The sequence below is a fragment of the Homo sapiens genome, chromosome 17 (genome assembly GCF_000001405.40).
Source record: "Homo sapiens chromosome 17, GRCh38.p14 Primary Assembly".
NCBI classification, from domain to species: Eukaryota; Metazoa; Chordata; class Mammalia; order Primates; family Hominidae; genus Homo; species Homo sapiens.
In genome coordinates, this window is record NC_000017.11 from 31,601,448 (window position 1) to 31,624,502 (window position 23,055).

The 23,055-nt window shown below is 43.1% G+C and overlaps 1 long non-coding RNA gene across 1 annotated transcript; it reads right to left on the bottom strand.

Moving 5' to 3' along the window:
- Nucleotides 1-3,401: 3,401 nt before the first annotated feature.
- Nucleotides 3,402-4,589, bottom strand: LOC124903975 (uncharacterized). Its single transcript, XR_007065705.1, has 2 exons — nt 4,514-4,589; nt 3,402-3,546 (listed from the first exon to the last, which is right to left on the bottom strand). It is a non-coding gene; the product is annotated as an uncharacterized LOC124903975 (long non-coding RNA).
- Between the last annotated feature and the right edge of the window lie 18,466 nt (nt 4,590-23,055).

Sequence of the window (23,055 nt, forward strand, 5' to 3'; positions counted from 1 at the left end):
ACAGCAGTGATTGGACACTGGATGGTTCAAGAATAGAAAGTGGCTGGCTCAAGGGTAGGACAGACACCACTCCTGCTCATCTCAGGCCACCTGCCTGGCCTCCTCTGCCCCTTCTGCCCAGTCAGTGCCGCTTCTTTGGTGACCCTGAGACACAGCTACCTCTGTTGGCCTCACTTTCCACATGGGCTTCTGCAAGGGCCACCAAAGTCTGTGGGTCGCTGCCTGATCACCCTAGCAACTAGTGTTTGCAATCTTTTTTTTTTTTTTTTTTTTTTTTTTTGAGAAGGAGTCTCGCTCTGTCGCCCAGGCTGGAGTGCAGTGGCGCAATCTTGGCTCACTGCAAGCTCTGCCTCCTGGGTTCACGCCATTCTCCTGCCTCAGCCTCCCGAGTAGCTGGGACTACAGGTGCCCGCCACCACACCCAGCTAATTTTTTGCATTTTTCAGTAGAGACAGGGTTTCACCATGTTAGCCAGGATGGTCTTGATCTCCTGACCTTGTGATCCACCCGCCTCGGCCTCCCAAAGTGCTGGGGTTACAGGCGTGAGCCACAGCGCCTGGCCTTTTTTTTTTTTTTTTTTTTTTTTGAGACAGAGTCTCCCTCTGTCACCCAGGTTGGAGTGCAGTGACGTGATCTCAGCTCACTGCAACATCCACCTCCTAGGTTCAAGCTATTCTCCTGACTCAGCCTCCCGAGTAGCTGGGACTACAGGTGCGCGCCACCATGCCTGGCTAATTTTTGTGTTTTTATTAGAGACAGGGTTTCACCATGTTGGCTAGGCTCGTCTAGATCTCCTGACCTCAGGTGATCCCCCCACCTCAGCCTCCCAAAGCGCTGGGATTACAAGTGTGAGCCACTGCGCCTGGCCTCTTTTTTTCTTTTTGAGACGGATTCTCACTCTGTCACCCTGGCTGGAGTGCAGTGGTGCAATCTCGGCTCACTGAAACCTCCACCTCTTAGGTTCAAGCAATTCTCCTGCCTCAGCCTCCCGAGTAGCTGGGACTATAGGCATGTGCCAGCATGCTGGGCTAATTTTTTTTTTTTTTTTTTTTTTTAGTAGAGACGGAGTTTCACCATGTTGGCCAGGATGGTCTCAATCTCTTGACCTCAGGATCCACCCGCCTCAGCCTCCCAAAGTGCTGGGATTACAGGCATAAGCCACCACGCCTGGCCGGCATTTGCAATCTTTAAGGGACAGTGGTAGCAGTAGCTTGGCCTTTTTCTGGGTCCTGAGTGTTACACATACATGCGAGTGCATATGCGCCCACACACACGTGCTTGCACACACACACACACAGACACACACACACAAACACACGCTGTCCCCTGAACGCAGACCCACTGCCCGGCTAGAGCCAGCGGCCCCATGATTTAGGATTTTGTTCTCTGCCTGAAAGAACAACAACTACAGACAACAGGACCACCCTCACCAACAGCACCCAGGCTGGTTTCTGAGGGGAGCCCCCTATGCTGAATGTCCCTTACCTCCTCACTTCTTCGCAGGAACCCTCATTCTCCACCCACCCCACCCTCTCCAAGGTGGTCAGACATTCTCAGTAGGAATGTCCCCAGCTGTGGATGTGGTTCAAGGTTTCCGATTTCTTACCGAGAGGCCTCTCAGCCCCCATAGATCCACATGCAGAAAGTCCTCACTTAACGTCCTCTCGATGGGCTCTTGGAAACTGCAACTTTAAGCAAAATGACATACAGCAGGTTCTCAATGATGTCGTTTCGTCCCGTGTCATTTCCCTAATAATTGATTTCATTATACATCATTTTGTCAAGGTCACAGTTTCCAAGAACCTATTGAGGACGTTAACTGAGGACTTACTGTACGTGCTAGGGATGGGGTATGGAAGGTGCCGAACTCCACCTGCCATGAGTCGGCCAGGGACCAGCATCCAGGGCAGGACCTACCATGCCCATGTGGCTTGTAACCTGGCTGTGGGAGGGAGGTGGGTAATGGTTGTATATGAGCCCCCATGCCTCCCTGATCATTTTCTGGCCTGGACCCCTGCTATCGACGTCCCCTGCCCCTTCTCATCCTCCAGGTTTGTTTGTCCTCTGCCTCCCTTTCACCAGTGGTGTAAGCAAGCCCCCTTCCCGTGGCCCAGTTCAGCAGTTTCTTTCTGGAGAAACCACTGACAACAGTCAGTTTTGCAGGATCTTGGGAACATTTTCCTTTGAAAGACTTTTTAAGCTTTTATTTAATTACTCAAGTGACACATGTTCCCTGAAGGAAAAAAAAAAAGCAACAAACAGAAGTGATCTCTCATCCTACTTATATCCATATAGAAATAATAATCTGCTAAGCCACTGCTGAAGTCTTGCTATATATCTGATCTATTTCTAATAATCTGATATCTGATAATTGATCACTACTGGAATATTGTTTATTTGTTTTTAACACAGCCATGATCATATCACACATACTTCTCCAATGCAGGCTTTTCTCACACAGCAAATGTGTGATGAACTGCTTTCTGTGTCAGCAGACCTAACATCATTTTTCATGGTTATGTGGTATTTGCCGGTATGAATATGCTATATTTATTAAGTGAATTGTTGGACAACTATGTTGTTTCCAGTTTTTCAAAGCCATAAACAATGTTGCCTTGTAAAGACTTCTTTGCCCACTTACCCAGCTATTTCGGGAGGAGAAATTCCTAGAGGTGAAATTGCTTGGCCAGAGGTTGTGCACATTTTTAAGGCTTTTGGTGCATATTCCTGGCCCCCTCTTAAATCCAGACCCATTTCTTTCATGCTTTGGATTTGTCACCTACTTTAGCATTAACTCAAGGGCAAATAAATTTCAGTGGTGAATCTGCTATTTACAATTTTCTAGGCAGCTTCTGTCCATTAATATGCATGCATGAAAAAAATGACTCTAGTTTCCATTTTTAAAATGCCAAGCATATTCTCACCCCAGTGTTCCTGTGCACCTGGCTCTTCTTGGTAGTTTTGAGAGTTTTGGATTAAATTGTGTTTTTTTCCTTCTAGAATGAGAAGTCCCTAGATGAAGCCAAAGACAGTATAATTTCTCTGAGCCTCAGTTTGCTCATCTGTAAAATGGAGACATTATGAGTACTTTGCAGTATTTTCATGCAGGTGAAAAGAACCCAACTCCACGTCTGACATGATGAAATCTCCGAATTTTATCTGTCCTCTCCCTTCCAGGGCCAGGTGGGGTGTGCAGTGGGGCCTCTGGGCCCAGGTGTTGGCATTGGACACTTGGTTCCTCCTGGGCTCTGTTCCCAGCTTTTCCTACCCATATTTCCAGGTACCCAAGGCTAACTGCCTCCCCCAGAACAACCCCCAGATTCGTTCCACCTTAAAAGGTCCTTGAGCTCTCACTAGAACAACCAAACAAGAGAACAGAACATTAGAGAAAATTGCTTGTCTAAAATAGACAAATAATTTTCATTTCATCCTTCTTTCTGTGCTCCACTTTATCTGTCTTCTTGCTGTCCCTTTTTCTATATAAGCCAGGCACGAGGGCGATATTATTCTTCTAAATTCTCAAGATGGATTATGTAATAATCTAGACTGAAAAAAGAAAAGGCAACTGCTTGGTAAATGGACACGAGTCTTTGCAGCTATTTAAAAAGATAAAGCCCAGATCATCCTCGCCTTCCAGTACTCAGTAGTAGCTGATTGCCCTTATTCTTGGGTTTTGCAGAGAGTCCCAGCTGGGCCTGTTTGGAACTGTATTGCCCAACTTCCCTGATGATCAGAATCACCTGGGATGTTTATGACATTGCAGCTTCGTGGGCTCCAGTCTAGACCTTCTGACTCAGATTTTTCAGGGGAGAGGTCTGCACATTTACAAATGTACCTTGTATTTAGGTCTATACATTTACAAATGTACATTGTATTTAATGAGTGGCCCTGGATGATTCTTAACGTCAGGAAAATATGGTCAACATTGTTAATAGAAGGAGAAAGCCTCAGTTTTCAACTGTGTTTGCACATTAGGGTCTCCTGGGGACCTTTAAAAGCTCCAATGCCGGCCGGGCGCGGTGGCTCACGCCTGTAATCCCAGCACTTTGGGAGGCCGAGGCGGGCGGATCACGAGGTCAGGAGATCGAGACCATCCCGGCTAAAAACGGTGAAACCCCGTCTCTACTAAAAATACAAAAAATTAGCCGGGCGTAGTGGCGGGCGCCTGTAGTCCCAGCTACTTGGGAGGCTGAGGCAGGAGAATGGCGTGAACCCGGGAGGTGGAGCTTGCAATGAGCCGAGATCCCGCCACTGCACTCCAGCCTGGGCGACAGAGCGAGACTCTGTCTCAAAAAAAAAAAAAAAAAAAGCTCCAATGCCCAGTTATATCAGAATTCCAATCATCTTGAACCACATTCAGGGGTGAGTTGAAAGACCTCTGACATGGACCAAGAGTCCAGGGTTCTGAAAGAGAAAGCCCTGGCTTTGTCACTAATTCACTGGGTAGCATCTCTAGGCCCCATTTCCCATACATACAAAATGAAGGACATGGACTAGCCCAATGGGAAAATACTTTCTGTCCTGTGTGGCAGTCTGGTTGATGGGTAGCCGCTGTCTGGGTCACAATACTGAGAAGAGCTCTGAAGCAGGGACTGGGCTAAACAGGAGAGTGCCTTGATGGATTAATGATGTCTGCCATAGGTGCACAGGAGAGGTGTTGGCTGATACATTAACATGCAAGAGCCAAGTATCCCTGGACTAGGTCTTCTGTAAGGGCCCAATTAAGCCTCTGTGATGTAATAATAATGAACATAGCACCAGGTTCATTGTGATGCATAGTTGAGATAATCTATGCAAATAACACCTTGCAATATTTGAGGTGCTGTGCAGATGTTGGCTATTATAATAATAGTTATTATTTTAGTTCTTGGATGCTACTTCTTCAACACTTTTTAAGGCAGGGCCATAAATAGCAAGTGGCCTGTCTGGGCCAGGGTGGGATGAGGTGTGAGGTCAGAATGCAACATTGGAGGCCAGGCGCAGTGGCTCACACCTGTAATCCCAACACTTTGGGAGGCCGAGGCAGGTGTATTACTTGAAGTCAGGAGTTCGAGACCAGCCTGGCCAACATGGTGAAACCCTGTTTCCACTCAAAATACAAAGAAAAAAAAAATCAGCCAGCCGTGGTGGCGTGCACCTGTAATCCCAGTTTCTTGGCAGGCTGAGGCAAGAGAATTGCTTGAACTCGCGGGGAGAGGAGGTTGCAGTGAGCCAAGATCCTGCCACTGGACTCTGGCCTGGGCAACAAAGTGAGAGAGACTCCGTCTCAAAAAAAAAAAAAACAAAAAAATGCATCATTGGATGGGTAGTCGTATGGGATTACAGGAATGAATAGTTGAAAATATTAGAGATTTCAAAGCTAGAACTCTTTTTTTCAACCTGAGGAGGGAAATGATAGAGGGAAGACAACATACGGAGTTCTAGTTCCAGCATACATCTCTGCCCCAACCAGCCTACGGCCCATAGAATCTTTCTACTCTCAGGCACGATTATACTTAAGGACTCCATCCATCCATCCACACACACACCAACCCATCCACCCACCCACCCCGCTACTCATTCACCCATACATACATCCATTTACCCATTTATCCATTTATTGAGCATTTTCCACGTACCTGGCCTACCTAGGTGCTGGAAGTTAGTCAGGGCTGCTATGTTTCACAACACCAGGGGACAGCATTTACACCGTGGTCTTCGCATAGATCCACTGGACACAGAGTGAACAAGACAGATGGCCGGGTACAGTGCCTCATACTTGTAATCCCAGCACTTTGGGAGGCCAAGGCGGGTGGAACACGAGGTCAGGAGTTCAAGACCAGCCTGGCCAACACAGTGAAATCCTGTCTCTACTAAAAATACAAACATTAGCTGGGTGTGGTGGTGGGCGCCTGTAATCCCAGCTACTCAGGAAGCTGAGGCAGGAGAATCGCTTGAACCCAAGAGGTGGAGGTTGCAGTGAGCCGAGACCACGCCACTGCACTCCAGTCTGGGCAACAGAGCTAGACTCAAAGACAGACAAGGTCTTTGCTGGCATGGATCTTTCATTCTAAACAGGGGAAAGATAATAAACAAGCAAACGGTGAATCGGCAAGATCATCTGACATAGTGATGAGTTCTAAGAAACTGAAACAGAGTGATGGGGTGTGATGCACTGTAACAGGTGGGGATAGGCTGGGAACTTAGTTTGAATGGGATGCCCAGGAAAGGCGATATTGGAGTAAAAGCCTAAATAACCAGAAGGAGCTTTCCAAGTGAAGTTCTAAGGATAGAGCATATCAGACAGAGGGAACTGCAAATGCAAAGGCCCTGTGGTAGGAACAGTGCTTGGTACCAAAAGAATGCCAGTGTGGGCCGGGAGTGGTGGCTCACACCTGTAATCCCAGCACTTTGGGAGGCTGAGGTGGGCAGATCACGAGGTCAGGAGATTGACACCATCTGACTAACATGGTGAAACCCCGTCTCTACTAAAAATACAAAAAATTAGCCGGGCGCGGTGGTGGGCGCCTGTAGTCCCAGCTACTCAGGAGGCTGAGGCAGGAGAATGGCGTGAACTCGGAAGGTGGAGCTTGCAGTGAGCCGAGATTGCGCCACTGCACTCCAGCCTGGGCGACGGAGAGAGACTCCATCTCAAAAAAAAAAAAAAAAAAAAGAATGCCAGCGTGGCTGTGTTACTAGAAAGTAACCCAAGAGAGGGTTCTTGGACCTCAGGCAAGAAGGAATTCAGGGCCAAGTCCATAGAATAAAGTGAAAGCAGGTTTATTACAGAAGTAGAGAAACAAAAGAATGGCAACTCCATCAGCAGAGCAGCAGCATGGGTTGCTAAACTGAGTATACTAATAGTTTTGTTGGTTTGTTAGTTTGTTTTGTTGTTTGTTTGGGTTTTTTTAGATGGAGTTTCGCTCTTGTTGCCCAGGCTGGAGTGCAATGTCGCGATCTTGGCTCAGTGCAACCTCCACCTCCTGGGTTCAAGGGATTCTCCTGCCTCAGCCTCCCATATAGCTGGGATTACAGGCATGCCCCACACGCCCGGCTAATCTTTTATTTTTTGTAGAGACAGGGTTTCACCATGTTGGCCAGGCTGGTCTCAAACTCTTGACCTCAGGTGATCTGCCCACCTCAGCCTCCCAAAGTGCTGGGATTACAGGTGTGAGCCACCAGGCCAGGTCTGTTATTTCTTGATTATATGTTAAACAAGAGGTAGGTTACTGGTGAGTTTTCTGAGACAGGGTTGGGCAATTCCCAGAACTGAGGATTCCTCCCCTCTTAGACCATATAGGGTAACTTCCTGACATTGCCATGACATTTGTAAACTGTCATGGTGCTGGTGGGACTGTCTTTTGGCATGATAATGCATTATAATCAGCATATAATGAGCCATGAGAATGACCAGAGGGCACTTTCATGACATCTTGGTTTTGGTGGGGTTTGGGCAGCTTCATCCTGTTTTATCAGCAGGGTTTTTGTGACTTGTATCTTGTGCCAACTTCCTATCTCATCCTGTGACTAAGAACACCTAACCTCGTGGGAATGCAGCCCAATAAGTTTCAGCTTTATTTTACCCAGACCCTATTCAAGATGGAGTCGCTGTGGTTCGAACACCTCTGACAGGTGGAGCTAAGTGTATGAAGAGAATGGTATGAGATGGTGGAACTTTTGGCTTAAGCAACTGGGTGAATGGTTGATGCCATTTCCTGAGAAGGGAAGACTGAAGGAGGAACAGATGAGTGGAGAATTGGCTCAAGAGATCTATTTTGGCTATGTTGCCTTGAGGTGCATGTAAGATATTCCTGTGGAGATACTGAATAGGCAATTCAATTTAGTAGTCTGGAACTCAGAGGTTGGGTTGGAGGTATGGATTTGGGAGCTGTGGTAGACATGGAGTTTCTTGCCCAATATCTATACCCCTTTTCATGATAACTACCCTAATGTATGTTCCTGTGTCCATATCTCCCATACGCCTGGAGGGAAATAACGCCACCCTTGCACTAGTGGTGGAAGATAGAACTCAAGCCCAGGCCAATCAATAATCCCAACTTCTGGCCTTGTAAGTGGCTCTGGAGTGGGCACTTGACCCTATTTGGAGCAATACAATTACAGAAGACGAGTGTGAGGGTTTTCTGGTTCTTTCAAGAGCACTTGGGAAGAGGCCTCTCTCTCCCTGAACATGAAGAATCACATAGCCCTAGAAGCTGTTCACAGCTATCTTGCAACCACAAGCACAGCCAGGATTACAGTAACATTGATTCAGTAAAAGGTAGAGCTGAGGAATTTGGAAAAAGAGTAGTAAAAATCCTGACATTGAGTCACCAAAGCCCACCCTGCCTCAGAATTTTGTGAGATGCAAAATTCACTCAAATGTCTAAACTAGGTTGGGTTGAAATCTCTGGTACACACACACACACACACACACACACACACACACACACCAACTGATACTAGCCATGGGTTAGACGCTGTTGCCTAGGGAGAGTGTGGATGGGCCTGCACGTGAGTGGACCAGGAGGAAGGCTACTGAAAGTTTTCCAAAGAAGGGGTGCTGGGATCCCTGGACGCAGCCATCCTGGAAATTTTCCTATGTGGAGTCTGGGTCTCTTCTAGTGAAGAGAAAACCTCAGGTCTTTGTGCCAGACAAGCTAGATTTGAACAGCCTCTGCCATTTGCTTGTGGAGGAGTTTTGGCAACTTGCTGAACCTCTCTGAGCCTCAGTTCCTTCCCCTATTCAAAGGAGGTCACAGTAGCCACATCATAGGGTTGTGTGAAGGTTATGCAGTATAAAAACTGTGAGGTGGGGGGCTAGCTTTCTGCCCCTCCTTTCTGCCCTCTCCTTGGTGGTGACAAGCTGCTCTCTCTCAAAGCATATTGAGGGACGCTGAGTCATTTTTTAAAACTAAAAATGTTAAGTGCTCCCTCAAATGACTGTCTCCAGAGAAGCAGTTGATAGCCAAGCACATTTGTCCCTCCTTTTCATGCATGGATCACATTTTAGCATGAAAATAGATGCTCTAATTAGGGGAGAAAGGAGCCAGCATCTGCTGGCTGCTAAGTGATGGCTCACAAGGGACAGGGAGGAAGGGCTGCTTCCAGCACAGGAATGGGATGACCTGTGGGATGGCATCCCACCCTGAGAGGTCCCTGAGGGGCAGACCCGAAGGTGGGAAATACAGAGCTTTTGCTGAACTGGAAGATAATTCCTGGAGATGAGGCAGTCCCAGGGGGCCAGGATGCTGATTATGGAGGAGTCAAGCCTGCCTAACTCCTCTCCGCAAAGGGCAGATAGTGAGGTCCTCCCAGGCCACTGCCATGAGTCTTGTTATCTATGAAGGAGGCATTTCTTGGCTGGGTCCAAGTGTCAGCTCTGCCTCTCACTAACTCTATGACCTGGGCAATGCATTGAATGCCCTTGTACTTCTGTTCTTCCATCCGTAAAACATAAAATTGGGAGAGTCACGGCTGCTTCAGGTACACTCATAACCCAATGGGGGAAGGCAAACGGTATAACTCCTATTAAGGAGAATGTGGTCATTTCTAGTAAAATGACATATGCAATTGCACTTTGACCAGCATTCCTGTTACCAGAAAGGGGTCCTGATCCAGACCCCAAGACAGTGTTCTTGGATCTCACACAAGAAAGAATTCAGGGCAATTCCATAAAGTCAAGTGAAAGCAAGTTTATTAGGAAGGAATAAAAGAATGGCTATTCCACAGACAGAGCAGTCCCAAGGGCTGCTGTTTGCCCATTTTTATGGTTATTTCTTGAAGACATGCCTAAACAAGGGGTGGATTATTCATGCCTCCCCTTTTTAGACCATATAGGGTAACTTCCTGTTGTTGCCATGGCATTTGTAAACTGTCACGGCACTGGTGGGAGTGCAGGATGACCTAAGGTCACTCTTGTCGCCATCTTGGTTTTGGTGGGTTTTGGCCGGTTTCTTTACTACCTTGTTTTATTAGCAAGGTCTTTATGACCTGTATCTTGTGCCGACCTCCTATCTCATTCTATGATTAAGAATGCCTTAACTTACTAGGAATGCAGCCCAGCAGGTCTTAGCCTTATTTTACGTAGCCCCTATTCAAGATGGAGTTACTCTGGTTCAAATGCCTCTGACAATCCTACCCTCTAAGAATCTATCCCAAAACCACAATGGCAAAAATACAAAACATATATACTCAGTCTATTTGATACAGCATGATCTGTACTAGAAAAAGCCTGGGCTGGGCACAGTGGCTCAAGCCTATAATCCCAGCACTTTGGGAGGCCAAGGCGGGTGGATCACCTGAGGTCAGGAGTTCAAGACCAGCCTGGCCAACATGGTGAAACCCCTTCTCTACTAAAAATACAAAAATTAGCCAGGTGCAGTGGTGGGCTCCTGTAATCCCAGCTACTAGGGAGGCTGAGGCAGGAGAATCGCTTAAACCTGGGAGGCAGGGGTTGCAGTGAGCCGAGATCGCACCACTGCACTCCAGCCTGGCAGGAGAATAAGACCCTGTCTAAAAAAAATAAAAATAAAAAAATAAATAAATGAAAGAAAGAAAGCAAAAGAAAGAAAGAAAAAGGCTGGAAACAACCAAAATATCCGTCAATCAGGCTGATTGAATAAGCTATGATCCACCTATATAATGGAATACTATGCAGCTGCTAAAAAGAACAAGGATTATTTCTATGTGTTGCTTTGGCGTGATTGCCAGGATACAGTGTTACATGAAAAAAGTAAGATGGAGAAAATATGTTTAGTATACAGCCATTTATCCAAGAAAGGAGGGAGGGAACACACACACACACACACACACACAGACACCCCACAGAACTTTTTAATTGGGAGGATATTTTTAACTGGTTACCTCTAAGCAAGGGGAGGTAGAGAATGAGGTGGAAGGGCAAAGACAGAGTGTAGAATTCTCTGCAAGCGGTTCACAATACCATTCCCTCCATTTTTGTAAATATTTGGAATCTTTCATAATGCAACTTTTTATTTTTAAATGATTTTCCTTTCTTTACACTGGCCAGTGGACCAAATGGCACAGAACAGAGCCACCACCAACCTAAAGCCTTACTTTGGGCTTTTCTGTGAGAAACAGCAAGCCTTTTGTTGTTTCTTGTTTCTATGACTGAATGACATCTATTTGTTCTGCAGCTTCGCTCACTCTAACTAACACACAATCCCACCATTTATCTTCCAGGTCTTACCTTGGCCTTTCCTTCCTGGCTCAAAACCTGTGGGTTCACCTCACAGGTGAGCAACCTCCAGCTTGACCTCAAGTCCTTCTTTTACAATACGTTCTCAAGGAGACAGAAGCCAAGAGTCTGGGCCCTGCCTCTTCCTTAGCTCCGACCCCAGGCTCACAAAGGAATTGGAGGTACACTGGCAGTTCTATATGATTGCTGTCCACTTATTCTATGAGCAAGGGGACACTTGTTTTGGCCCAGTGGTTTTCATTATTCTCCTTCTCCTCCTCTCCCTCCTCCTTCTCCTCTCCTTTCTCCTGCCACCTCTCTCCCCTCCTCACCCTCCTGCCTCCCCAACCTGCTGTTACATATGACTTCTAGTAAGTCTCCTTAAAAGGAAGAGAGGATTTCCTTCTTTTCCCCTACCCCATCCCACTGCCTGAAATGTGGGTGCAATAGCTGGAGCTCTAGTAGCCATTTTGGACCCTGAGGACAAGAGTCACATCCTAGAAGTGACAGAGCAGAGAGCTGGAGGAAGCCTGAATCCCTGATAATTCTGTGGCATCACCACACCACACCAGGCTCAGGCCACCTACTTCTGAACTTCATAAAAGATGTGATAGTGTGGTCGGGCGTGGTGGCTTCTGCCTGTAATCTCAGCACTTAGGGAGGCCAAGGCAGGTGGATCACTTGAGGTCAGGAATTTGAGACCAGCCTGGCCAACATGGCGATACCCTGCGTCTATTAAAAATACAAAAATTAGCAGGGTGTAGTGGCGCACGCCTGTAATCCCAACTACTTGGAGGCTGAGGCAGAGGAATCGCTTGAACCCAGCAGTCAGAGGCTGCAGTGAGCTGAGATCAAGCCACTCCACTTCAGCCTAGGTGACAGACTGAGACTCTGCCTCAAGAAAATAAATAAATAAAAATAAAAGATATGATAGTATTAGAGAAATTAACTTCTATTTAAGCCATTGTTATTTTATGATTAAAAAAACCCAAACAGTTTAATCTATCCTAATTGATAAGTCTTTACTCCCCAACATCAGCTCAGGTGTGCCTCTGCAGGGCCCCAGACTACACTGAATACTGTTCTGGCCATAGGAAAATCAGCTGGTTATTGTGAACTGTGCTGACTCTTAGAGATTCTGCCCAGAACAAAACGTGTCAACTCTGCTCACATCGTGTTGACCAAAGCAAGTCATGTGGCCAAATCTTATGGCAATGGGGTGGGGATATAGAATCCCCTCAAGGGGAAGAACAGGGAATATTTAGAAATAATAATATGATCCATCCTAATAGTCAACAAAACCAAGGCCCAAAGAAGCAAAGTGGCTTACCTGAGGTTTTACAGACTACTAGGAGGCAGAGTTAGAATCCTGGTTGAGGACTAGTATGGTGGCTCATGCCTGTAATCCTAGCACTTTGGGAGGCCAAGGTGGGTGGATCACCTGAGGTCAGGAGTTTGAGACCGGCCTGGCCAACATGGTGAAACTCCGTCTCTACTAAAAATACAAAAATTAGCCGGGAGTGGTGGCAGGTGCCTGTAATCCCAGCTACTCGGGAGGCTGAGGCAGGAGAATCTCTTGAGCCTGGGAGGCAGAGGTTGTGGTGAGCCGAGACTGCGCCACTGCACTTCAGCCTGGGCAACAAGAGCAAAACTCTGTCTCAAAAAAAAAAAAAAGAACCCTGGCTGGGCTGATTTCAACTCTAATGCTCTTTCCTTTACACTTTACTATGTCTCAAAAGGAACACTTGATTTGGGAACACATAATGGCTTCGAAGAAGGCAGTGTTGGTGAAATCAGGCTCACCTACTAGGTCTTATTTCCATGATTTATCCCTTTCCTGCAGTCTTCTTTGGGGCAGCAGTTATAATCGCCCTCTCTTCTCTTCCCCTCTTTTGAAGTCCAAGGTATCAAAATTTATTACTACAGTGGAGACTAGGAAGTGCACCCCTGCCCAACTTGAGGAAGGATAACAAAATGTGTGGAGCAATGTGTGAAATAGCCTTCACATGCGAACACAGATATTCCCAGAGGCAAAGGCAACACAGTGTGACCATATTGGGACCTTTCCAATGAATTCAGATATTTTAAGGATATAGACAAAAGTCAGGAGGAAAGGCATATTCCTAAGTGGTATGCAGGAAAGAATTATGGGATATTGTGGGTCTTTACATTTTTCTCCTGTGTTGTGAGCTGTTCTGGTTCCTTCATCTTCCAAACCACTAATTCGATTTTCCACATAACCAATCCACCTTTCAGTAGTCAATGTATTTTAAATATTTAAATTTGCACAGTTTCTTTTACTCCCAGAAACTTTTTAAATGCTGTAACTGTATCTCCTCAAGAGTTTTTTTTTCCTTTTTCAGTTAATTTTCTTGTGTAATTCTTCCATTAGTTCAATAGCAGCCACTTGTTCAACTAACAAAAAAATGAGAAAAAAGAAAAAGAAGGGAAAGTAATAAAAACTCTAATAAAGAAAAAGCATAAAATAAAATTGGTAGGAATAAAATTGAGAATATCAGTTATAATACCAAGAGAAAAGATGGTCAAAGTAAATTTATAAAACAAAATATCTTATATACAAGCATATACTTATAGTTAAACAGTAAAAAGCGTAGAAAATAAAGGGATGGAAGAAAAATAAAGTAGTAGTGGTGATGTTAGTATCAGATAAAATGAAATTTAGGATCAAAGACATTCAATTGGTCAAAGAGGAACATTACATAATGATAAGATAATATTCTTTATAAAGAAGAGGTGGTAAACATAAGGCCTTATGAACCAAACAATATAGCAGGTAAATATAATATTTAAGGCAAATACTCCTAATGATACTAAGAGAATTTAATAAAAATTTAGGTATGGTGGAAAAATTTTAAATATCCCTTTAAGAATTTGACAAGTCAAGTAGTTAAAATATGAGCAAGGACTTATAGAATATGAGTGTTCTCATTGATAAGCTTGGTTTAATATGCTAGAATTTTTTAGACTTTTTTTTTTTTTTTTTTTTTTTTTTTGAGACAGAGTTTCACTCTTGTTGCCCAGGCTGGAGTGCAGTGGCATAGTCTCAGCTCACCACAACCTCTGCTTCCCAGGTTCAAGCGATTCTCTTGCCCCAGCCTCCCGAGTAGCTGGAATTACAGGCATGTGCCACTACACCTGGCTAATTTTGTATTTTTAGTAGAGATGGGGTTTCTCCATGTTGGTCAGACTGGTCTCGAACTCCCGACCTCAGGTGATCCGCCTGCCTTGGCCACCCAAAGTGCTGGGATTACAGGCATGAGCCACCGCACCTGGCCTTTTTAGTCTATTATGTATTTTTTTTATGTTAATGACACAGCTACCAAAGTCAATTCTAAACAACTAAAAATGTAATGGAAGGCCTGATAGCATAAAACCATCAATTCTTCCAAATTAATTTATAAATTTAATGCAATTTCAATGATATCTTCAACAGTCTTTTGAAGAGGGAAGGAGTGATTTTAAAGTAAATATAAAGAATAAATGTTCCAGAATAACCAACCAAATTATGAAGATGAAGAGTAGTAAAAGGAGACTTGTCTTACTACATGTTAAAAACTACTGTAATTGGCCGGGCACGGTGGCTCACGCCTGTAATCCCAGCACTTTGGGAGGCCGAGGCGGGCGGATCATGAGGTCATGAGATCGAGACCATCCTGGCTAACACGGTGAAACCCCGTCTCTACTAAAAATACAAAAAATTAGCCGGGCGAGGTGGCGGGCGCCTGTACTCCCAGCTACTCGGGAGGCTGAGGCAGGAGAATGGCGTGAACCCGGGGGGCGGAGCCTGCAGTGAGCCGAGATCGCGCCACTGCACTCCAGCCTGGGCGACAGCGAGACTCCGTCTCAAAAAAACAAAAACAAACAAAAACAAAAAAACTACTGTAATTAAGCTGGGCATGGTGGCTCACACCTGTAATCCCAGCACTTTGGGAGCCTGAGGTGGGCGGATCACTGGAGGCCAGGAGTTCGAGACCAGCCTGGCCAACACGGTGAAGCCCCGTTGCTACTAAAAATACAAAAAAATTAACGGGGCCTGGGGGCGTGTGCCTGTGGTCCCAGCTACTCAGGAGGCTGAGGCAGGAGAATCACTTGAGCTCAGGAGGCAGAGGCTGCAGTGATCCAAGATCACGTCACTTCACTCCAGCCTGGGGGACAGAGTGAGACCCTGTCTTACAGTTTGGTATAGGGATAGACCTACAGGTCAATGGAAGAGAACAGTCTAGAAATAAAACCAAATATATGAGAAGTATGTCAAAGGTGATATTTCAATTTGGTGGGGAAAAGATTGTTTAGTCAATAAATGGTGCTGGCACAATTGGTTACTCATCTGGAAAAATTGCAAAAACAACCCCTTACTATATTTGGAAAAATTAAATTCCAGTCAGATTAAAATGCAAATGTAAACAATATTATTTTAAAATTTAGCAGCAAATTTAAACATTTTATGTAACTTTAGCAAGATAAGAAATCTGAATGTTGTAAAGAAAAAGATTACATTTGACTATGCAAAAATAAACTTTGTTCAAAAACCTCACAAAGTCAATGATAGCACTTGGGAAAACTACTTTCAATACATATGATGGGTAAAGTATTAAATCTGTAACATTTCAAGTACACCAGAAATTGATAAGAAAAAGACAGCCTGGGCGCGGTGGCTCATGCCTGTAATCCCAGCACTTTGGGAGGCTGAGGCAGGTGGATCACGAGGTCAGGAGTTCGAGACCAGCCTGGCCAATCTGGTGAAACCTTGTCTCTACTAAAAAAAAAAATACAAAAATTAGCCAGGCTTGGTGGTGTGTGCCTCTAGTCCCATCTACTTGGGAGGCTGAGGCAGAAGAATTGCTTGAACCCGGGAAGCAGAGTTTGCAGTGAGCCGATATCGCGCCACTGCACTCTGGCCTGGGTGACAGAGAGAGACTCCGTCTCAAAAAAAAAAAAAAAAAAAAAAAAAGAAAGAAAAAGACAAATATTCTGATAGAATAAATGGATGCAAATAGGCAACTCTTGGAAGAGGAGCCCTAAATGGCCAATAAAAATGATGTTCAAGCTCTCTTGGAGTGAGGAAATGAAAATGAAAGGAACAAAGAAATAAAATCAGATTGGTAAAACAAACAAACAAACAAACAAACAAACAAGAACCCCAAATGATAAACTTCAATCTTGCTAAGGATGAGTAAAATTGGGCACTCAACATTGCTGGTGGGGAATGTTAATTGCTACAGCCTTTTTAGAGGGTGACCTGCATTGTGTATCTAATAAAATACACAATGCATATTCCACATGCCATGTTTGTATACACATGCTATCTCTGAAAGCATATCCGAAAAATTGGCAACAGTGATCAGTCATCTCTGGTAAGGGGAACCATGTACTGGAAAACGGGGATGGGAGGGCAACCTGTATATCATGAATAGTCTTTTTACCTTTGGAACTTTATGTTGTATTTGTATATATTTTTTAGCTAACAAATAAAGAAAATATTTGTAACATTTTGATTTGAGGTCTTTCCTCTCTTAAACACAGGCCATCTACAGCTATAAATTTCCGTCTAGCAACTGCTTTCACTGCATTTCATAAACTTCAGTATGTTGTGTTTTTATTTTCATTCATCTCAAAATATTTTCTAATTTCCCTTGTGAATTCATCTTTGACCCATTAATTATTAAGGACTGTGTTCATGTCCATATATTTGTAAGTTTCTCCAATTTTCTTCTATCATTGATCTCTAATTTCATTCTATTGCAGTTGAAGAAAATACTTTGTATAATTTCAATACTTTTAAATTTATTAAAACTTGTATTATGGCCCAACATATGGTCTATCTTGGAGAATGTTCCATGTGTATTTGAGAAGAATGTGTATTCTGTTGTTGTTTGGTGGAGTGTTTTATAGATATCTGTTAGATATAATTGGTTTAGTGTTGTTCAAGTCCATTTCTTTGTTGATCTTCTAGTTTAAGATCTAATTGTTCTACCTGTTGTTTACAGTGGATAATTGAAGTCTCCAGCTATTATTGTTGAATTGTCTATTTTTCTGTTCAAATACTACCAGTTTTTGCTTTAGTATTTTGGAGCTCAATTGTTAGGTGCAAATATGTTTATAATTGTAATATTTTCTTAATGGATTGACCCTTTTTAAAATTATTTAAAATTTCCTTTGTATCAATAAACAATTTTTGTCATAAAGTCTGTTTTGTCTGATATTAGTATAGCCATTCTGGATTTTTTAAACTGTTTGTCGCCTTTTTACTTTTTTCATCCTTTTGCTTTAAACCTTTTTGTGTCTTGGAATAACAGATGTATTTCTTGTAAACAACATAGTTAGATAATTCTGCCAATCTCTACCTTTTGATTGAAGTGTTTTGTGCACTTATATTTAATGTAATTACTGATAAGGTAGGATCTACATCTACCATTTTGCTATTTGTTTTCTATATGTCATGTCTTTTTAATTAATTTATTTTTAATTTTGTGGATACATAGTAGATATATAGATTTATGGGGCACATGAGATGTTTTGATACAGGGATGCAGTATGCAACAATCACATCATGGAGAATGGGTTATCTATCCCCGAAAGCATTTATCTATCCATTCCTTTATTATCGCATTTTGTGTTAAACAAATTTTTTTTTTTTGAGACGGAGACTTGCTCTGTCGCCAGGCTGGAGTGCAGTGGTGCAATCTTGGCTCACTGCAACCTCCGCCTCCCGGGTTCAAGCAATTCTCTTGCCTCTGCCTCCCAAGTAGTTGGGACTACAGGCACATGCCACCATGCCCGGCTAATTTTTGTATTTTTAGTAAAGACGGGGTTTCACCACGTTGGCCAGGATGGTCTCGATCTCCTGACCTCGTGATCCACCCGCCTTGGCCTCCCAAAGTGCTGGAATTGATTACAGGTGTAAATCACTGCACCTGGCCTTAAATAAATATTTTCTAGTGTACCATTTTATTTCCCTTGTCACTTCTTTGACTATTTTTTGAAAAATTATTTTCTTAGTGGTTGCTCTGGGGATTACAATTAAAGCTTTGCCCCTGTATATTCCCATTTCCTCTCCCCTCTTGTGCAAAAATTTAGACTATTAAAAATCTGTGTGAAAAGTTTTTACTCTTTGTATAAAATTTACATCTTTTTTATACTGTATGCCAACCAACACCAATTTTTAATTATTGTTTTATGCTGTCTTTGAAATCAGGACAAAAATGAGTTTCAAACAAAAAAATTTATACTGTCTTTTCTATTTACTTATGTAGTTACCTTTACAAGTGTTCTTTATTTCTTTATGTTGATTTGACTTACCACTCTGTCCTTTCATTGTAGCCTGAAGGAGTCCCCTTAGTATTTCATGTAGGGAAGGTCTGCTAGTGATGAATTCTCAGTTTTTATTTACCGGGGAATGTTTTCATTTCTGCTTCATTTTTGAAGGATAGTTTTAGTGGATATAAAATTCTCAGTTGTTTTTTAAATTTCAGCATTTTGAATATGTCATCCCACTGCCTTCTGTCCTCCATGGTTTCTGATGAGAAATAGTTTTATTCAGGATCGCTTGTATGTAATGAGTCATTTCTCTCTTGCTGCTTGGAAGATCCTCTCTTTGTCTTTGTTTTTCAACAGTTTAGTTATGATGTGTCTTCAAGTGTATCTTTTTTACCTAATCCTACTTGTAGTTTATTGAGTTTCTTGGAAGTGCAGATTAATGTTTTTCATCAAATTTAGGAAGTTTTCATCCATTCTTTCTTCAAAATTCTTTCTCTTCTATCCCCTTTATCTGAGATTCCCATGGGACCTTGAAGATCTATTCTTTTTTTTTTTTTTGGAGACAGGGTCTCGCTCTGTCACCAAGGCTGGAGTGCAGTGACATGATCTCCACTCACTGCAACCTCCACCTCCTGGGTTCAAGCAATTCTTGTGCCTCAGCGTGCTGAGTAGCTGAAATTACAGGCATGCACCACCACGCCTGGCTTATTTTTGTATTTTTACCAGAGATGGTGTTTCGCCATGTTGGCCAAGCGGGTGGCGAATTCCTGGCCTCATGTGATCCACCCATCCCCGCCTTCCAAAGTGCTGGGATTACAGGCTTGAGCCACTGCACCTGGCCAAAGAATTGAAATTAATTGGAAAAACTGAGTGTGCTCTGGCTGGGAATCTTTTTTCTTTCTGTCCCTCAGACTGGATAACCTCAATTGACATATCTTTAAAGTTCACTGATGTTTTCTTCTGCCTGCTCAAATCTGCTGTTAAACTCCTCTTAGTAAATTTTTCATTTCAGTTGTAATTTTCAACTCCAGCATTTAGTTGTTTTTAATATATAATTTGTTTCTTTATTGAAATTCTTTGTTTGTTATCATACTTTCCTTTAGTTCTTTAGGTGTGGTTTCCTTTAGTTCTTGAGCATATTAAAAATAGCTAATTTAGGCCAGGCATGATGGCTCACACCTGTAATCCCAGCACTTTGGGAGGCCGAGGTGGGTGGATCGTTTGAGCCCAGGAGTTTAAGACCAGCCGGGGCAACATAGTGGGACCCTGTCTCTACAAAAAAAATAGATAATAATTAGCCAGGCATGGATTGCTTGAGCCCAGGAAGTTGAGGCTGCCAGGAGCTGTGATCGCACCACTGTACTCCAGCCTGGGCAACAAAGCAAGACCCTGTCTCAAAAAATAATAAAATATAATAAAATAGCTGATTTAAAGTTTTTATCTAGTAAGTGCAATTTGTGGGCCTCCTCAGGGAACGTTTCCATTAATGACTTCTCTCGTGTGTATAGGCCATGCTTTCTTATTTCTTTGCATGTCTCATGATTTTTGTTGAAAATGAACATTTGATATAATGTAACGTGGCAACCCTGGAAATCAGATTCCCCTTTCCAGGGTTTGTTATTATTACTATTTCTTTAATGAATTTCTTGACCTAATTCTATAAAGTCTGCTTGTATTCTCTGTCAGGCGTGGCCACTGAACTTTCTGATCAGTTAACTTACTGGTCAGCTAATGACCGGACAGATATTTCATTAAATGCTTGGAACCAGAAAGTCTCCCAATCTTTGCCAAGGACTCTGTGTGAGTTTGGGGCATGCTTCAGTGCTCAGCCAAACGGCTTAGAATCCTACCTTAATCTTTACTTTCTGTTTGCACAGTTTCAAGGCCAGCCAGAGGTGAGGGCTCAGGGCCTTCTCAGGTCTTCCTTGAGCATGTGCGTAGCCCTGGGCATGCACACTGTCCTGGGCACATGCATGGCCTTTTAGAATCCCAGGAATCTATCAGAGCTTTTCCTAGCCCCCTGAGGATACCTCTTTCCTCAATTTTTCCTTTTAAGTTTTTTGGTTACTTTGTTGTTTGTCCTGTAATTACTGCCTCAGACAGCTATGATATTAAACAATAGCTACTGAAACGGGTGCAGTGGCTTACGCCTGTAATCCCAGCACTTTGGGAGGCTGAGGCAGGTGGATCACCTGAGGTCAGGAGTTTGAGACCAGCCTGACCAACATGGTGAAACCCCCGTCTCTACTAAAAAAATACAAAAAAATTAGCCAGGCATGGTGGCGCGCACCTGTAGTTCCAGCTACTTGGGAGGCTGAGGCAGGAGAATCACTTGAACGTAGGAGCCAGAGGTTGCAGTGAGCCAAGATGGCGCCACTGCACTCCAGCCTGGGTGACAGAGTGAGACCCTGTCTCAAAATAATAATAATAATAATAAACAATAGCTACTGATTATTTTTGACAAATGCCCTCAGGAAAAAGGCTTTTTGTACTGAGCAAGTTCTACATCAGGTCAAATAAAGAGAGCCTTGCAAGTGGGGTTTTCCAGGGCACTGAGAGACAGTTCAAGTAGGACAATTTTCTGGGAATGGGGCTTTGATAGAGTGCCATTCCCTGTTGTAACCCCTTCAGTAGCTGGAAGACTGCTCACTTTCACCATGATTATAGCCTGTTCGTTCCCAAGGTTACCATGAAGCTGGAGAGAAGAGAACGGGAATAGCACAAGTTAATACCCAACTTATTTTTTTCCAGATGGCTATTCATTGTCCAAATACTATTTATTGCAAAGTCTGTCTTCCCACCCACCCCCTCGATTTGCAATGCTTATATACTGTACTAAATTATCCAATGAATTAATTCTCTCCTTTTGGACTTCCTAGTTTGTTCTCTAAGTTTGTCTATCTGTTCATATGCCAGTCCCATATTGTTTCAATTATTAAGGCTTTGAATTATATTAAAATAGCCAGTAAGAATATTACTTTCTCATTGTTTTCCTTTTTCACAGTTTTCCTGGCTGTCCTTGGCTTGTCTATTTTTCTGTATGAGCTTTCAGAATCAACTTGTCTGGTTAAAAATATATTGTTTGTATTTTTATTTAATTTCCACTGAATTTATAAGTTAATTATATATTAAGACCTTGTCTCTATTAGAAAAAGAAAAAGAAAATAAATTTTAAAAATCACAATAGGAATTAGAAACTATTTTGAACTGGATAATACAAAAATACTGCACATCAAAAGTTGTGGGATGCAAAGACATGCTTAAAAAGAAATTTATAAGTTTATTTTTATTTATTTATTTATTTATTTATTTTTGAGACAGAGTCCCACTCTGTCGCCCAGGCTGGAGTGCAGTGGCTCAATCTCAGCTCACTGCAACCTCCGCCTTCTGGGTTCAAGCCATTATCCTGTCTCAGCCTCCCAAGTTGCTAGGACTACAGGCACACGCCACAACACCCGGCTACTTTTTCTGTATTTTTGGTAGAGACAGGGTTTCACCATATTGGTCAGGCTGGTCTCAAACTCCTGACCTCAGGTGATCCACCTGCCTTGGCCTCCCAAAATGCAAGGATTACAGGTGTGAGTCACCGTGCCTGGCCTTAGAAATGTATAACTTTAAATGCATATACAAATGCTGTTGGATTTACTATAAGGTTACATCCTGATACACCCATCATAAGTTGAAAATATTGTAAGTCAAAAATACATTTAATACACCTAAATTACTGAACATCATAGCTTAGCCTAGCCTATTTTATGCGTGTTCAGAACACTTACATTAGCGTAAAGTTGGGCAAAATCATCTGGCAACACAGCACAATGAAGAGTGACCCGTGTTTACCCTCAGGATTATGTGGCTGACTGGCAGCTGCAGTTTACTGCCACTGCCCAGCCTAACAAGAGTATTGTAGGCATATTTCCAGCCTGGGAAAAGACCAAATTCAAAATTTGAAGTATAGTTTCTACTGAATGCGTATTGCTTTTCACCATTGTAAAGTTGAAAAATCATAAGTAAACCCATTGTAAGTCGGAAGCCATCTGTATTAGAAAAGAAAAAAGACTGAAAAACCAAAATGTTAAGTGTTCATGTCAAGATGTCAACAACAGAACAGCAAATTAAACTCAAAGAAAGTAGAAAGAAGAAAATAATAAAAAGCAGAAATTAAATGAAATTTAGAAAACAAACATATACTAGAGTATCAATAAACTACATGATTATCTCTTTGAAAGAATGAGGCCAGGTATGATGACTCATTTCCTGTAATAACAGCACTTTGGGAGGCCATGGCAGCAGGATTGCTTGAGGCCAAGAGCTTGAGACCAGCCTGGGCAATTTAGTGAGCCCCACATCTCTACAAAAAATTAAAATATTAGCTGGGCATGGTGGTGAGTGCTTGTAGTCCCATCTACTCAGGAGGCTGAGGCAGGAGGATCACTTGAGCCCAGGAAGTTGAGGCTGCAGCGAGTCATTATCAAGCCACTACACTCTAGCCTGGGCAACAGAACAAGATCCTGTCTCAAACAAAACAAAACAAAACAAAACAAGAATGGAAGGGACTGATAAACCCCAAGTAAGATTGATAAGAAAGAGATAGAGATACA